Source organism: Homo sapiens, chromosome 17 (genome assembly GCF_000001405.40).
Source record: "Homo sapiens chromosome 17, GRCh38.p14 Primary Assembly".
Lineage (NCBI taxonomy): Eukaryota > Metazoa > Chordata > Mammalia > Primates > Hominidae > Homo > Homo sapiens.
In genome coordinates, this window is record NC_000017.11 from 10,790,079 (window position 1) to 10,806,670 (window position 16,592).

At 49.4% G+C, this 16,592-nt stretch overlaps 1 protein-coding gene and 1 long non-coding RNA gene across 2 annotated transcripts in view, besides 3 other annotated features; one reads left to right on the top strand and one right to left on the bottom strand.

The window, feature by feature from the left end:
* TMEM220-AS1 (TMEM220 antisense RNA 1) overlaps positions 1-16,592 on the top strand; it is an 85,388-nt gene that overhangs the window by 60,302 nt on the left and 8,494 nt on the right. Inside the window, exons 2-3 of the long non-coding RNA NR_073458.1 lie at positions 12,321-12,430; positions 16,085-16,164. This is a non-coding gene — a long non-coding RNA (TMEM220 antisense RNA 1). The remainder of the gene's footprint in view (positions 1-12,320; positions 12,431-16,084; positions 16,165-16,592) is intronic.
* TMEM238L (transmembrane protein 238 like) lies at positions 4,830-14,021 on the bottom strand. Its single transcript, NM_001388428.1, has 2 exons — positions 13,528-14,021; positions 4,830-5,870 (listed from the first exon to the last, which is right to left on the bottom strand). Exon 1 carries the CDS (start codon positions 13,883-13,885, stop codon positions 13,646-13,648), a length of 240 nt encoding a protein of 79 aa, NP_001375357.1. The 5' UTR covers positions 13,886-14,021; the 3' UTR covers positions 4,830-5,870; positions 13,528-13,645.
* Positions 8,508-9,009: an enhancer, noted in NCBI's record as "H3K27ac hESC enhancer chr17:10701903-10702404 (GRCh37/hg19 assembly coordinates)". NCBI's record gives its function as "activates a minimal SCP1, AML or CMV promoter by ChIP-STARR-seq in primed H9 embryonic stem cells {active_cell/tissue: H9 hESC(primed)}" and the evidence as "EXISTENCE:reporter gene assay evidence [ECO:0000049][PMID:30033119]".
* Positions 9,010-9,509: an enhancer, noted in NCBI's record as "H3K27ac hESC enhancer chr17:10702405-10702904 (GRCh37/hg19 assembly coordinates)". NCBI's record gives its function as "activates a minimal SCP1, AML or CMV promoter by ChIP-STARR-seq in primed H9 embryonic stem cells {active_cell/tissue: H9 hESC(primed)}" and the evidence as "EXISTENCE:reporter gene assay evidence [ECO:0000049][PMID:30033119]".
* Positions 13,640-14,425: an enhancer, noted in NCBI's record as "H3K27ac-H3K4me1 hESC enhancer chr17:10707035-10707820 (GRCh37/hg19 assembly coordinates)". NCBI's record gives its function as "activates a minimal SCP1, AML or CMV promoter by ChIP-STARR-seq in naive H9 embryonic stem cells {active_cell/tissue: H9 hESC(naive)}" and the evidence as "EXISTENCE:reporter gene assay evidence [ECO:0000049][PMID:30033119]".

Here is a 16,592-nt window from a genome sequence, read left to right on the forward strand (position 1 = left end):
ATGGGGTCAAGGGGTGAGAGGACATCCAAGCTGAGTCTGTGTGTGTTGGGTATATGCCCAACACAGAAAAAAGCTTTGATGGAGGGCCTCTGTCCTTTTCACTGTGGGATAAGCCTGTGGCTTTGGCTGGAAGTGAACTGGGTGAAATAGGTAAGAGCTGTTCTCGAGGGCTGGGGCTGGTGCAGGCACAGCTAGTTTGAAGAAAGAAAAACAAGAAAGGAAAGAAAAGAAATAGATAATAGTAAACTGGGTGCCGAAACTTGGAAAGCAGAGGCAGGCCAAATTCGGCATTTAAGGTGTTAACTTATAAAATAGTGTGTAGAAATGGCATGCAAATTATTTGCATGCTGACTTGGGGGGGTTTGGGTACACACAGACCAGTGCAGTATGGGGTATGGCAGAGATGTCTGATGGCAGGGTGGCTCCAGTGGGAATCTGTACCTTACTTCTCCCTTCCTTTTCTAAAAGTTACCAGTGTCAAATGCTAAGGAACCTTCCAAGTTCCGGTTGAGGCAGTCTTTGGGACCCAGGCTGGAATGAGGCCCAAGGTGACCATCTGTTGAATAAAGGAACACACGTAAGCCTGCAACCATGTGGCTACTGTAAAGTCACAGGCACTTGCTTCTGGCCATTCCCTTTGTTTAGTCCTTGGATCTGTGCATAGCACTGGCTCACACAGCAAAGCTGTGGTATTCCCAGATTCATATTCAGCTTCTGGTATTCTGAGCCTTTCTTCCCAATACCCCTGACAAGAAATGGCTTTTTTGTTATCCTTGTTTTCCTGGCTAGCGCCTATTCCCCTTGTGTGCCTGCCCTGCCAAGAAACTTCTGGGAGTCTTGGAAGAACTGATTCAGCTCTTAAACAAGTTCAGTCAGCTATTAGTTGGCATCTATTGTTTTATTTTTCTGCCAGATTATTACTCTGTCTACCAGGAACAAACACAAGTGTATGCTGGATGCCTTCAAGTGCTGAGATGTATATCCCAGTATCATAGAGAGTATGTTTCCCCCGCAATTCTATTCCTTTTTGCAACCCTTTTTCTCTGAGAACAAACACAGATGGAAGGTAAAGGAAGCTGAACATATCCGTGTGAAGTTTCTGCTACTAGGCCAAGCCTGTTTGCCTGACTCCCTGTACCCTTAGGGTTTGTTTTTACCCAGGAGGCTCTCCGATCCTTTATGCAAATACATTTCTGAGCCTGCCTCAACGGTGGCGGTCAGCTTGTGATCCAGCCAGGATAAGCTCCCCTTCCTCAATTGTACTGTAATTTCACTGAGAGATGAGTTCAATCTGAGGGGCTTCGAGGCTACTGATTGGGGGGTGGGCTGACCTTCCACCTAGTATGACCGCCTTCCCCTGGTTTTGTGGGTCCTGTTGGTCATCTCTGCAATAAGCCATGGGGATGAGGTTGTGAGAAATGTGGACTTGATCATTATGGCAAACCTTACCTTAAATAGCTTTGAAAACAACAGGTTTATAGCCCTAGAATCAGGAGGTGATGGCCTAAGATTTACAGCTCTACATTTTGATTTTTTTTTTTTTTTGAGACGGAGTTTTGCTGTAGGAGTGCAATGATGCGATCTTGGCTCACCACAACCTCTGCCTCCCGGGTTCAAGCGATTCTCCTGCCTCAACCTCCGGAGTAGCTGGGATTACAGGAATGCACCACTATACCGGGCTAATTTTGTATTTTTAGTAGAGAAGGGGCTTCTCCACGTTGGTCAGGCTGGTCTCGAACTCCCGACCTCAGGTGATCCACCTGCCTCAGCCTCCCAAAGTGCTGGGATTACAGACATGAGGCATGATACCTTCTAAGGTATTTGCCAATTCAGGAGGCTGCAGAAGTCCTGAAGACTGGTGCTGGATCACTTGTGATTGTGATGTCATTATTATTACCTCCTAATAGGAGGGGGCTACCTATAGTCACTCAGCCTGTAAGTGGCAGGGTGGACAGAGTTCAGGTCACTGAAAAGGCCCAATTGCCTCTAGAGGGAATGAACAGGAGGAGGGGCCATGAGGTGGGCCTGGGGAACAGTAGGAGGCTCACCATGCCCAGCCCTTTGGTGGAGAGCTTTCTGGGAGGACAAGTCCAGATCAGATGTAGTCCGGCTCAATGTGGAGCTGCCTGGTGGCATTGTGGCCCCTCCTATTTCCTCCTCCCTCCCTGCCCTGTGTGAGGGGCACCCATGGGCTCAGTGCTGTGGTATCTGAAGTGACGCAGAGCAGCGTGGAGGCCTGTTCCTTCCTGGGCACGCGGCACAGCCAGGGTGAGGCCCGAGGGGGAAAGGTGCATGACTCTGCAGTATGAGCGTGCCTCACTTCCACAGCTGCTGACCTGCTCGCTTGCTTGTTCTGCCTGAGGCTCAGCAGGGCTTGGGAGAAGCCAGTCAGCCATTTATGGAGAGGAAAGAGGCCTTTACTGGCAGCCTGGAGACCTGGGCTCCAGACCTGGATCTGTCACTTTTCAGTTGCTTGAACTTGGTGAAGCCGCTTTACCTGCGGTTTCAGTTTCCCCATCCCTGAAATGATGGGGTTGCTTGAGAGCCTCTCTCTTCAAAGTGTCTCAGGAACCAGTAGCAGCAGCATGGCCTGGGAGCTTGTTAGAAATGCGGAGTCTCAGGCCCCTCCCCAGACCTACTGAATCTGAATCTCTCTATATTTTTTTTATTTTATTTTTTGAGTCAGGATCTCACTCTGTCACCCAGGTGGAGTGCAGTGACACAATCACAGTTCACTGCAGCCTCAACTACCCCAGGTTCCGGTGATCCTTCCGCCTCAGCTTCCCAAGTAGCTGGGATTAAAGGCATGTGCCACCATGCCCAGTTAATTCTTGCATTTTTTATACAGACTGGATTTCAACATGTTGCCCATGCTGGTCTCAAACTCCTGGACTCAAGTGATCCACCAACATTGGCCTCTTAAAGTGCTGGGATTACAAGCATGAGCCACAGTGAATGTGCATTGAACAAGATCCCCAAGTGATCTGCATACAGTTGGAGAAGCATGGCTCCACGGTTTTTAAGATGTAATCCCAGCACTTTGGGAGGCTGAGGCAGGCGGATCACAAGGTCACGAGTTCGAGACCAGTCTGGCCAACATGGTGAAACCCTGTCTCTACTAAAAATAAAAAAATTAACCAGGCATGGTGGTGGGCGCCTGTAATCCCAGCTACTCGGGAGACTGAGGCAGGAGAATCGTTTGAAATCAGAAGGCGGAGGTTGCAGTGAGCCAGGATTGCGCCACTCAACTTCAGCCTGGGTGAAAGAACGAAACTCCTTCTCAAAAAAACAAAAACAAAAAATGATGGCTTCAGGGCTCATGTCCTCCAATTCTGTACCGTAAGGAGTCTCTCTGAGTGGTATCCTTGTAGATGCAGGTACGGAGCAAGCCTTGCCCTGGAGCAATTGCCCTGCAATTTCCACATGCACTGTCTAGGTGGCCCTCTCAGTTTCAGTTCTTAAATGTGGTTGCTGGGTGGTCAATGATAAATTCCAGGAAATCCTCCTCTGTGGGCCTCCCTTTTCTTCCTGCAGGCTAATCTAAAGACTAGTAAGTAATCAGCGGGGACTGCATTTAATTCACCCCTTACTCCTATTATCACAGATTTATTCTATAGTCATTCTACCAAGCAACATGGCCTCTAATTGGGTCGAACAAATGCTCTATATGGAGAACCACCATATATGCATTTAACTTGCAGACTAACAGCCCAAGTGTGAGAGAGGACGATGTAAATAGTGTGGGAAATTCCCTAGAGTGAGTGTGACATGTAAGGTCGGAATCTGCTGCTCAGCCACTCTCAGCTCCTTCAGTCTCTCTTAGACGTGAACATGTGCTCTGGCCTAAGTGTGATCCTAGTTTTTTAAGATTTGCATATTTTAAACAATGTGGCTTCTACTAAGTGAGAGCCAACGATTACATTTGGTACCCAGCCAAAGAAAACAGAAAATGATTCCACTTCTAGAATTAAAACAAAACAAAACAACTATGCTGGTCTCATTAAGAGAAGTCATGTGGCCTCCAACACAATGTCTTCCCAAGGAATTTTTCAGAGTGATTTTGATTACATGCAACTTTTCCTTCCCTGTGAACTTTAGAACCCCAGGTAAGAGGCTCTGGCCCCTCACGGTGTACAGTCAGTTCAGACATAGAAAGAAACTTCCAACTGGGAAGATGAAGAGGATTACAAGTGAAGATGGTTGGGGGAGATTCTGAGTAGGAAAGAAATCTTTCTTCTTAATTCCAAATGCTCTTTTGTGATAGCTCCTCAGGTTTCTGAGTCCAGCCCAATTCAGAGATAGTAGACTGGTGGCAGAGCACAGAGATGCCAGAAGACTTCATGGTGTCAGGATAACCTGTGGTCTGTCTTTTTTTTTTTTTTTTTTTTGAGACAGAGTCTCGCTCTGTCACCAGGCTGGAGTGCAGTAGCATGATCTCGGCTCACTGCAACCTCTGCCTCCTGGGCTCAAGCGATTATTCTGCCTCAGCCTCCCAAGTAGCTGGGACTACAGGTGTATGCCACCACCCCCAGCTAATTTTTGTATTTTTAGTAGAGACGGAGTTTCATCATGTTGGTCAGGACCATCTCCATCTCTTGACCTCGTGATCCACGCGCCTTGGCCTCCCAAAGTGCTGGGATTACAAGCGTGAGCCACAGCGCCCATCCTTGCTCTGTCTTTATCACACCGTGTTCTACGTGTCCCTTCCCTGGAGGCACTGTACTGAGTGCAGAATTACAGGATTTGCACCAAGGCAGGTTAAACAAATGGGAAAAGGATATCCTAAAACTGGGAGAACTGTTATGAGATCACAAAGACTCGCAAATCTGTCCTGTTACATAAAAACAAAGGCCAAATCTCCTTCTTTATTTAGGTAACCACCTCATACCATGAAAGATCGGAGGCAGCTTATAAGAGACACATACACTTTAAGGGTGAATTATAAATAAAAAGTACAAAATGAGACCAGGGGAAATATAAATTAGTGGGGCAGGTCGGGCTCCAGTGGGTGGCAAAGCAGAGAACATCTATCCAGTTAGCCTATGAGGCTTGACCCTCAGAGTTGCTGTCCTTGGGCTGGACTTGACCACCTGTAACTTAAGATAAAACAGTCCCACCCTTAAGGTCATCAAATGAAAGACACAAGGACAGCATAGCAGAGGCCTAGCTGGCTTGTCAGAAAAATGCACGGGAGATTTCAGTTGGCTAAAACCTCAATATGAGCCACTGCATGGCCAGGCTGTGCAAAGGAGTGGGGCTCCATTAATAGTGCACGGTGTGGCCCCACTGAGGAGGAGAGAGTCCTCCCGCACACAGCACTGGCTGTACGTTCACATTTGCAATCAACACATTGGAATATGTCACCATGTGCCAACTGGTCAGTGTCAAAGGGTAGATACAGTGGAACCCTCCAGGAGCTCACACAGTCTGTCCAAAGAGCCAGTGAGGAGAAATAGCAACAATCCTGCTTGATATGTGCTCGCAGGAGATCCCATTAGGACTTTGGTGCTTGTGGTTGGTTCTAATTGTTTTTCTAAAAGGACATTCACAAGAAGAACTACAGAGGATGAGTCTTCTCTTTTGGTGTCTAAGCCCCCAGCAGGGCTCCTGATAAAAACCTGCTAGCTACTCAGGCCCTTCATAAACAGCTGGCACAACAGCAGCGATGTCAGATCTGGTGCAGGGATGCTGGGCTTGTGATGGAGTCTGGAACCTGCCAGAAGCCTGGCATCACAGCCATTCTCGGACATCCTCGTGAGTACTTTGAAAGCCTCAGTATTGCAGCCTCTCGTTCCTCCTGGATGCTGTTAAAGGGTGTTCTGTAAAGGAAGGGCATCTCCTTGAATTGATTCTCCTCCATCAGATGGGACCTGTGTTGAACAAAGGAAGATAAAATGGATCAGCCCCCAACCCAAATCCATCAATTTCAAGCCTGTGTGTGGTGAAACCAGCATAGTCTTTGGAGTTGCCAGACGTAGGTTTGAATCCTAGAGCAGCCTCTCCATGGCACTGTTACCTTGGGCTAGCCCTGAAACCACATGAGACTCAGCTTCCTTTGCCTGGAAAATGGAAATTTGAATCCCGCACTCACAGAGTTGTAAGCACTGAATGAGATCATGAAAATAAGTGATTGGCTTAATAAATATCAAGATTCTCATCAAATCTTAGTTTCCTCTCCTTACCCTTCCTTGCAGGCAAAGCCGATGCCTACCTCTCTCTGCTCTCTGGATTCTGCCTCAACCTCCACCTTGGATGTGATCACAGGTTCATCTTCGTCTATCACGTCAGCATCCTCTTTTCCTCTCTGCTGACTTTCTCTCCTCCACTTACCGTCTTGCTCAATGTTCTATATCCCTTCTCTAAGAATTCCCACCTTAGCACGGTTATGCCAGCAGGTGACTGCCCTACCCTCTTAATCTCATCACCAAATACTTTGAAGATGAATCTGCACTCACTCCTCACCCATCTTCAGCCACCCGATAAGTAGCATCATCTGATTTCTGTCTCCACCATTTACTGAGAAAGGCACATTGCTGGGTCTGCCTAACTGCCTTTCCTTAGGCTTCAGCCTTTTTTTGATGGCTTTGAAGTGTTTGATGGTCAATTCCCCTCACTCTTGATAATTGTCCTTCTTTGTCCTCTTTGCCATTGGCATAACGTCTCTTCCTTATTATTACTGGGAACTTCCATTTGGGCTCTTCCATCTGCTTTCCTTTTCCCGTTCCCCACATGCAGGCATGGATCAAGGTTCTGACTTGGCTCCTATAGGAAACATACGTGACTAGGCCAGGGGCTGGCAAATGTTTTCTGTAAAGGGCCAGGTAGTAAATGTCATAGGCTCTGCAGGCCACATAGTCTCTGTTACCATTGCTCGACCCTGCCACTATAACATGAAACAGCCATAGATAATATGAGAGTGAACGAGCCAGTCTGTGTTCCAATAAAACACTATCTACAAGAACAGGAGGTGGGCCAGATTTGGCCCATAGGTTGTAGTTGCCTACCCCTGGTCTTATGGAAAGAGCATAAACCACAGGGTCAGATATACCTGGTTTTACAATCTGGCTCGATCACTGCCTAGTTCCATTATGCTGGGCAAGTTACTTAACCTCCATACACCTTATTATCGTTATCTGTAATAGAGAGGAATAATAATGATTATGATGATAATACTACTTTCCTCATGGCCTTGTTGATAGGGTGAAATGGGATAATGTGCAACCCTAGGGCCTGGTTCAGTGAATCTTAGTGTTCTTTTCTCCTTTCTTCCTCCCCCCTTTCCTTCCCTCTCACCCTCCCTCCTTCCCTCCCTCCCTCCCTCCCTCCCTTCCTTCCTTCCTTCCTTCCTCACTCTCCCAATCCCTTTTCTCTCTACATCCTCACCCTCTGTAATCTCATCCACATGTCTCTAACCCCTAACCTCTCCCTCCACATCTGATCTTTCTTCTGAGTTTAAAATCTGCACATTCAATGCCAATTAGGTAGTTCTGCTCGTATACGATTTGCATATCAAACTCTGCATGTTCAAAAGAAAATGAATCATTTTAAACAAACTCATGCCTTTTTCTGACCTCCCTCATTCCATGCCCCAGGGGCGCTTTCTGAAGGCTTTGACAATGCCACCCCCGATCTGCTGTAGAACAGGACAGGCCGTTCTCCACTCATGCAGTCTCTGCTCTTCTCCCCTCCCCTCCGTGGCCATCATTTCAGCTTGAACCCTTTTATTACCTGCCACCTGAGCTTGCTGAATGGCCTTGCTGTCTCTCTGCTGCTTCTCTCTCATCCATTCTGCACACGATGCTCAGTTACTCTTCTACAGGCAAAGCTTGATCATGTTGCTCTCTAGTATCTAACACCACTGAAGACTCCTCCCTCCTCTCCTAGTGTCAGACTCCTCACCTGGTGTTCAAAGTCCTGCACAGCCGGCACTGAAGACTCCAACCCCCAGGCAAATGTGCCTGCTTAGCTTTTCCTAGACACCCTAATTCTTTCATTTCTGCAGTCCTTCCTTTTGCCTGGACTGCCCCCTACCCACCACCCACGGCTGCTGTCCCTGTGCCATCTCTACTTGTCACATTCTTACCTGTTCCTTAGCAGCCCAGCCAGAACCACACACAGCACGCTTCCCCCAGCCAGGAGGTTCTGTGCCTCCTCTCAGCTTTCAGAGCCCTGGCAAGACTGTGCTTATCTCCTGCAATGCATTTTCCCTTGGAAACTTTGTGAAGTATCGTGCACATGCTTTATCTCTCCCCTTAGATTAAAAATCCCTGGAGAGATTAGAGAAATGTTTGCTCCTCCACACAGCCCTGGCACCATGTCTGCATGGGGCACAGATTCATTGAGCAGGAGAGGAGGGCTTTTTACCAGGCTCACCTTTGAGCTGACTTGGCAGCTCCACTGGCCTCCTCTGTGGGCAGAGGGGAGAGGCTGCCTGTTGGAAAAAGTCGAAGTGGAGGAACAAGTTTCATTTTCCAAGGCTCAAGGCTGTTAGCCTTTTGGCTTTGGTTGGTGTGAGAGTGGGTGTGTTTGTTTCTGTGAGTGTGTGTTTCTGGGTGTGTGTTTGGTAGGTGTGAGTGTGTGGTGGGTGTGTTTGTTTCTGTGAGTGTGTGTTTCTGGATGTGTGTGGTAGGTGTGAGTGTGTGGGGGGCGTGTTTGTGTGTGCATGAACACGTGGAGTAGAAGAGGGATGTGTGTGTACGTGTGTGGGGTGTTGGTGTGTGTGTATTGTTTGGGTGTGTAGTCTTGGACACCCTATTAAAAAAGGACAAGAGTCTTCATCTGACTTTGCTTGGGGACTTATCTTTATCTGCAGGAAATAACCAAGAAGTGGAAAATGGAGCAAAAAAAAAAATCTGAAAATACAGTGACCAGGTGATAAAATCAAACGGCAGCTTGTCTCTCTTGGAGCACAGTTGATCTATAAAAATCAGCCACTCGCCCTGAAACTTCCTGGGGGTGCCTTTGAGGTTTAGCAGCCACCCTGCCCTCTCTCTGGAGAACCACGCAGGCTGTGGGCAGAAGGCTTGTGGGGCAGCCAGGCCCCTGCCTTGTCCTGACCGAGCATGGGACCTCCTCATCTCTGGGGCAGGGTGGGGGCAGGTCCTATCAAACTCATTTTTTAATTTTTTATTTTTTGGGGGATGGAGTCTTGCTCTGCCGCCCAGGCTGGAGTGCAGTGGCACGATCTTGGCCCACTGCAATCTCCGCCTCTCAGGTTCAAGCTATTCTTCTGCCTCAGCCTCCCAAGTAGCTGGGGTTACAGGCACATGCCACAATGCCTGGCTATTTTTTGTATTTTTAGTAGAGACGGGGTTTCACTATGTTGGCCAGGCTGGTCTCCAACTTCTGGCCTCAAGTGATCCTCTGGCCTTGGCCTTCAAAAGTGCTGGGATGACAGGCATGAGCTATCATGCCCGGCCTCAACCTCATCTTACAGAGCCTCTGAAGGCTGAGCTAGGAATGTGGGCATCAGCTCTGAATGCAGGGAGCCCACATTCTTTCCTTTTACCCCGCTCTGAGAATGAGAGAGCTGGCAAAGCCAGTTACAATCTGCCCGTAAATCGTGAATGTGTCTGGAATTGACATATAGGCCAAAGGTCGTAGGCTGTAGGGGAAGTGAGACGAGCTGCTTTTCAAATATTTTTTGGCATCAGAAACTTGTGTTCATGTAAAGTCTTACGTGCCAGTTTAATGTGCAAAGCTGCTGAGAGCTCCACTGTTCTGGGTGAAATGTGTGTTACGGGGTGGGTAGGGCTGCTGGACTCCTGTCCCCTCACTCTGCCCCTCACCCCAGGCCCAATTCCCTTCCAGGGACATTGGCAGAACACAGTTTGAAACCTCCCTTGGAAACCACATCTTTTTTTTTTTTTTTGAGACGGAGTCTGGCTCTGTCGCCCAGGCTGGAGTGCAGTGGCGTGATCTCGGCTCACTGCAAGCTCCGCCTCCCGGGTCCACGCCATTCTCCTGCCTCAGCCTCCCAAGTAGCTGGGACTACAGGCACCCGCCACCATGCCCGGCTAATTTTTGTGTATTTTTAGTAGAGACAGGGTTTCACCGTGTTAGCCAGGATGGTTTCGATCTCCTGACCTCGTGATCCGCCCGCCTCAGCCTCCCAAAGTGCTGGGATTACAGGCGTGAGCCACCAGGCCTGGCCGGAAACCACATCTTTAACTCTAAAGGGAAGTAAAATGATTCGCCCAAGGCCATGGGGTGGAGGAGGGTTGGGCAGCCCCATAAGTGAGCAACGTCCTGAACAGCAGGACTCAGCACACACGAATCTGTCACTCTGGGCCATCCCTGAAATGTGTCAGGGGATGGAGATGCAGTAAAGAATACAATAAAGAACATATTAAAACTTCTAAAGTTTCTTTGAACCAGGACAAAACTCTAGCATTCTGGAGCAGCATTCAGTCTCATATCTACTGAAAAATCCTAATGTTGTACATTGCCATTAGAACTGATCGTAATGCGTCAGGGCCTCACCCTCTGTAATGTGCTGGCTACCTGCATCGTGACTGACGCTTTATTTAGTCATCACTTGCATAGTGCTGAACAAATATTAATCCACCTAATCTGGGCAACATCTTTATGACGTAGTGGCTATTATTAGCACCATCTCCATTTTACATATTTGGAGTAATGGGGCACGGAGAGGTGAAGTAACTTGCCCCAAGTCACGTTGCTAGAAAGGAATAAAACTGGATTCAAGCCAGAGTCTAGGTATGGCCCATGCTCTTCAACGCCGGGCTATTGAACTTCTGTTCAATGAGGGAAGGCTGTTCAGGGCACGGAGCCTCACACTGGGGACTCTGTGTTGTTTGGGTACTTGTCTTGGCTCCCCAAATGGGTTTCAGCCGGTAATAATCATAACCATAATAACCTATACTGTGGCCGGGGTGGTCTCTTGGAAACACAGGTCCAATTATGTTAAGCCCCTGCCTCTGCTTATATCTCTTCAATGGATTCCTTTTTACTGTTTTTTTTTTTTTTTGAGACGGAGTCTCGCTCTGTCACCCAGGCTGGAGTGCAGTGGTGCGATCTCGGCTCACTGCAAGCTCCGCCTCCCGGGTTCACGCCATTCTCCTGCCTCAGCCTCCCAAGTAGCTGGGATTACAGGCGCCTGCCACTGCGCCCGGCTAATTTTTTGTATTTTTAGTAGAGACAGGGTTTCACTGTGGTCTCGATCTCCTGACCTCGTGATCTGCCCACCTCGGCCTCCCAAAGTGCTGGGATTACAGGTGTGAGCCACAGCACCCAGCCCTCAGTGGATTCTTATTGTTCTTCAAGTAATGACCAAAATCCTTCAGAGGGCCCTCGAGGCCCTGCCAGATCTGGCCTCTGTCTACCACAGAGCCCTAACCCTCACCGACATTTGCTCTCTGCCCTTCAATCTCCCTGTCGTCTTTTATTTCCTGTTATCCCAGGACCTTTGCCCAAGCCATTGCCTCTCCCTGAAAGACTTTCCATTCACCTCCCACTCTTCCTTTGGCATTCAGCATAATATCACCTCCTCCAGGAAGCTTTCCCTGACTCCATCTTCTGAGTCAGTTTCTCTATTGAATATTCTTGTGGCAGGATGCTCCTCTCCTTCCTAGAGCAGACCTGACTTTGTTATTGTACTTTTGTAAGTGTGAATCTTTGGTGAGTGTCTGTCTTTCTCACCTGATGGTAAACTCCCTGAGAGTAGAGCCCCCACGTCATGTGTCTTTTTTTTTTTTTAATTGAGACAGGTCTCACTCTGCCGCCCAGGTTGGAATGCAGTGGTGCAATCTCTGCTCACTGCAGCCTGTGCCTCCTGGGCTCCAGCAATCCTTCTGCCTCAACCTCCTGAATAGCTGGGATTACAGGTGTGCATCACCATGCGTGGCTAATTTTTTGTATTTTTGGTGGAGATGGGGTTTCACCATGTTGCCAAGGCTGGTCTTGAACTCCTGACCTCAAGTGATCTGCCCGCCTCGGCCTCCCAAAGTGCTGGGATTACAGGCATGAGTCACTGTGCCTGGTCCATGTGTCTCATTTCTTATCCCCAGTGTCTTGCACAGTGCCTGACACATTCCAACATACCAGCACACAAATCAGGGACCCTTTTTGCTCTGAAGTTTCCTGATGCAAAGTGTGAGTTGACCCCCATCACTACCAATTTGAGAGACACCAAGGTACTTCACATTTGGACTTTGGGTCAGTTAACTCATCCCAGATTATGTGTTTTGTATGCTTGACATCTGGTGTAAGAACCACATCAATTGTACAGCCTTTCCCTGCCTTATCTCTTTTCGATCCTTGCAGCAATAAGGGCCAGAAATATTCTCTTCATCTTACAGATGAGAATCCTGAGGCTCAGAGTGTGCAACCTGGCCAAAAACACCCAGCTAACAAGTGCTGAAGATCAGAGTGGGACTGACTTCTCATCTGTTTCTACATCATTTCCTAGGTATGGGCTTACCTTACTCTACTGAGACCTCTTCATTTTGCTTCTCTTTTCTCTGAGTTCTGAGAGTCAGGTGTAATCCCCCACAAAAGACACAATTATTATTTCCTTCTTTCAACTCAGCAACGACCTTTGCTCTTACTTCTGGTAAGGGAGTAAGAAACGGGAGTGCCTGGATACACCTGCGTGCAGGTTGGGCCCACCTGGGGAGGAGGGTATGGCTGCCCAATGGACCGTGGCTCTGACTTCAGTCCCCTGGAGACAGCTGTCCATCTCTAATTCAGGGTTGTAAGGACCAGACCACTCTATCTCTGGGACTCTGTCTTGATGTGAAAAAATCTTACAACTCTCTGCCTCTTTGGTTGCACGCGATAGACTGAGCTGTGACATGCAACTCAGCGGATGAAATCCATGAAGCCAAACTGTCTTGACTTCTGGGCCTTGGAGACTGGCTGGGCACATGTGTTGGCTGCGTGTGAGTGTGAGTGAGGGTGGGGTGGGAATACTGCAGAGAGAGGAGGTGTGTGCACTGAGTGGGCATGGAGGCGAGTAGTCCCTACCCCGCTTCTTGTATCCCATCTGGGCAGGTGCAGGGAGGAAGTGAACGAGAGGGGCCGTTCTGGGTGGTTCTGCTCTGTTTGCTTTTACCGTGGCCCAGTTCACACCCCTTCATGTATGCAAGGGCACAAGAGTCATTGGGGAACTTTCCGTCCTCTCCTGTGCTAAAGACTTTTCTCCCCAGCAGAGATTCTTCCCAACAGAGAATGCAGATGGGGTCTTTTTGTCCCCAAGTTCCGAGGTAAAGGGATAACTTCCCATTGTGCCCAGAAGCCAGGATCATTCGTGGTATATCAGGGGTGGAAGGGGCTGTTGAGACTCTCTTTCCAGCCTCTGCGAGGAAAAGGGCCCGGAGGAGAAAACACCTGCCCCACGTCCTCTTGGCTGGCCACCCCAGCAGGACCTGAGGCCAGGGCCACAGGATCCCCAGTCAGGGTGCAGTGTCTGGCTATTTGCTTATGCAGCCTCAGGAGGCCTGGTCTTGCCCCTGCTTGTCCAAGCCTCTCTGGCCACCCTGCCAGGTAGGTCTTGTGTGCACTCACCTGGTCCCGGCGTGGCTTGCTAGGTGGAAGCTGCAACGTGTTGCTGCCCAAGAGCCCCAGGTTCACAGACATGTCTGCATACAGCACCTGCGTCTCTTCTCCTCTTCCCATGGCCAAATTACAGGTCCAGTTTTTCAGGAGACACCTCAATGTTGAGGGAATACCAGATGATCCAGAGCAGTAGGCTGAGAGCCAGGATCAGGGCACCTGTGTAGATGAAGAAGTCCCAGGAACTCAGGGGGGCCAAGATCCCCAGCAGCAAAAGGACCAGGCCGACCGCGTCCAGCAGGAGGGCGAGGATGAGGAAGAGCGCACAGCGCCCTGGATGGCATCTTCCCCACAGACTCCCCAGGAGCATTGCCCAGGAGGAGCGGGAGGAGCCCAGCTGCACTCCCGGGGGTGATTTGCATGGGAGGGTGGCGGTCCTGCCTGCTGCTGCCTTCTCTGCCTGCTGGGTGTGAGCAAATGAGCGAGCTGGCGCTTCTTGGAGCCACAGGGAAGTACACGTGGGTCTACCTTTATGAGCACGGCAGCCAGTGGGGCAGGATATTTCTTAACTGTTTCATGGCTCAGGAATGATCTGGACCCAAACAGTCTGACATCACTGTTAATTGGGCTGCTCATCGCTGGGACCTACAATCCATGTGGCAGAGGAGTCAGGGTGCCCTTGGATGCATCTGCCAAGTTGGCGGTCCTGTGATTCTGGGGGAGGGGCTGATCTGTGCCTTGTTCTCTAATCCCTGGAAGCCAGAGAGCCTGAGTGCCCTGTTTCTGAGACACAGCTGCTTCATCTAGTATAGCGGGGTGGAGTGGTGGAGTTTCCATTCCTCTTCACCTCCCTGCCCTACTCTCTTCCTTGGGGGAAAAGGTTTTATGTAAAGGACATAGACAAGAGTTTGTAAGATCAATCGATTTTGAAGCGTTGCTGTAAGAATTGGTCCATGTTAGCAAGAGAAGTTTTGCCTTCTTGTAGAGCCCTCACTCTGCAGACGGAAGGATCTGAGTTCCCTAGGATAATGGACAGTAAGGATAAGGGCGGGAAAGGGGTAGAGATGGAAAAGACAGAGGGGACAGAGAGAAGACAACAGGGTGAGAAGAAACTTCTGGCCTCTTCCTGCAGTGGATTCTGTGTGGACCAAAGGGCAATTCCCAGGCAAAAGTCAAGGGATGTTTCCGGGGCCTGTTGCCTCTGTGTTTTCTACATGAACTCATTTTATGTTCATTTTCTTTCTCATAATAGATGACCCTGTAAGCCCTTCCAGACACTGCCTGCATCCCTTCTACATTGATGGGAGCGATCTTATCCCCGTGGCTGCTCACGGCGGGTGTGGGGGTGAACATCAAATGAGGAAAATGCAGCGGCAGTCCTTGGCAGGGCTGCAGACAGCCACCCCTCTGTCCCTGATTCACAGGGAGGCTAGAACAGGGCACCAAACCTTTCTGGGCCTCAGTTTACCCAGATAAATGAAGAAAATAATTTCCACTCTCACTTTTGCCTTCCCCAGAGGGTGAGAATAAGTAGGTGGATCTGATTTCCTTTTTTTTTTGAGACAGAGTTTCATTCTTGTTGCCCCGGCTGGAGTGCAATGGTGCGATCTTGGCTCACTGCAACTTCTGCCTCCCAAGTTCAAGCAATTTTCCCACCTCAGCCTCTGGAATAGCTGGGATTACAGGTGCCCATGACCATGCCTGGCTAATTTTTGTATTTGTATTAGAGATGGGGTTTCAAACTCTACTTGGCCAGGCTGGTCTCGAACTCTGACCTCAGGTGATCCGCCCGCCTCCGCCTCCCAAAGTGCTGGGATTACAGGCATGAGCCACTATGCCCGGCCTTCATTTTTCTATGTGTAAAATAAGCCAGGATGAGAAAGAAACTTTCAGAAAATATTTTGGGGAAGGTGGCAGGGGATGACCTAAACCATAGCTCTTAGGATCTGAAACGCCACGAGACTTGAGCCAAGCCAGGTGAACACTCTGGACACCTCAAAGTGGGAAGTAGCTGAGGCCAATCTCCATCTCAGTACTTGCCTCCTGTCCCACTAGGTCCTCGGAAGGGGCCAGGTACCTACAGAAACACCTCACATTGCTGGGGAAGCCATGACTCTTTCAATTTTTTGTTCCCCCTGTAGGAGAGAGTCTCTTGGGAAAAACTATTGATGGACAGCAATGGCCTCTTCCCAGTGCCAGGACAAGCACTGCTGCTGTGTCTGCACAGGGCTGGGCTAATGAGTCCTGGTCTAGCCATATACAGGTTCCCAGGTCCCTTTGCAGAGTCCTGTGTGTGTGGCTCTAGTCCACCATGGACAACAATTTAGCACTAAAATTTCTGCATGCTGGAAAATCCTTTGTTTCTGGGTCAACTGGCATGGTTGGTCAATGTAGTCCCATCTAACTGGGCCACATCATACTCTCAGTTCCGCGGTCTGCGTTCTCTCTCATAATACCTGGCCATTCTGGCAAATCGCTAACCATGGCCCCACTCCAGGTGACTGGCCAGGCTGTGAAGTGCCCCTCCACCTCTGCCCCTGTGTATCTTTCTTACTCTTGTTTCCCAAAGTTACCACTCCTGTGTGTTGAGGCAGCCTCGGTATTTGCACAGCTGGGAGAGACCTACTGGGACGTTTGATGCAAAGCCAGGTGAGTCTGGAGCCCTGGAGGGGGGCAGGCTAGAAAGAAAAGAAGGGAGATGAAAGTGAGTAAGGAGGGTGGCTCCAAGTGTGGGAACCAGAAACTGCCTGGGCGGAGGCAGGCGTGGACGAGGGGCAGGTGATCAGAGAGCAGTTTGCTGCACCCCCGTTAGCAAGAAGAACACCACCACCCTCTTCTTCTCACGGAGATCCTTTGTGACTTCCTCACTTGCCAAGGCTGGATCCACAGCTGGAAATAGCTGCATGCTTTGCCAGGGCTGCTGTAACAAAGCACCACAGCCAGGGTGGCTTGAACAATAGAAATGTATCATCTCCCAGTTCTGGATCCTGGAAGTCTTGAGATCAAGGTGTCTCCAGGGTTGGTTCCCTTGAGGGCTGTGAGGGAGAATGGGGTCCAGGCCTCAGCCCTAGCTCTGG

Excerpts from the sequence above, each read along its gene's own strand:
- TMEM238L (NM_001388428.1), bottom strand. The coding sequence starts at position 13,885 with ATGCTCCTGGGGAGTCTGTGGGGAAGATGCCATCCAGGGCGCTGTGCG.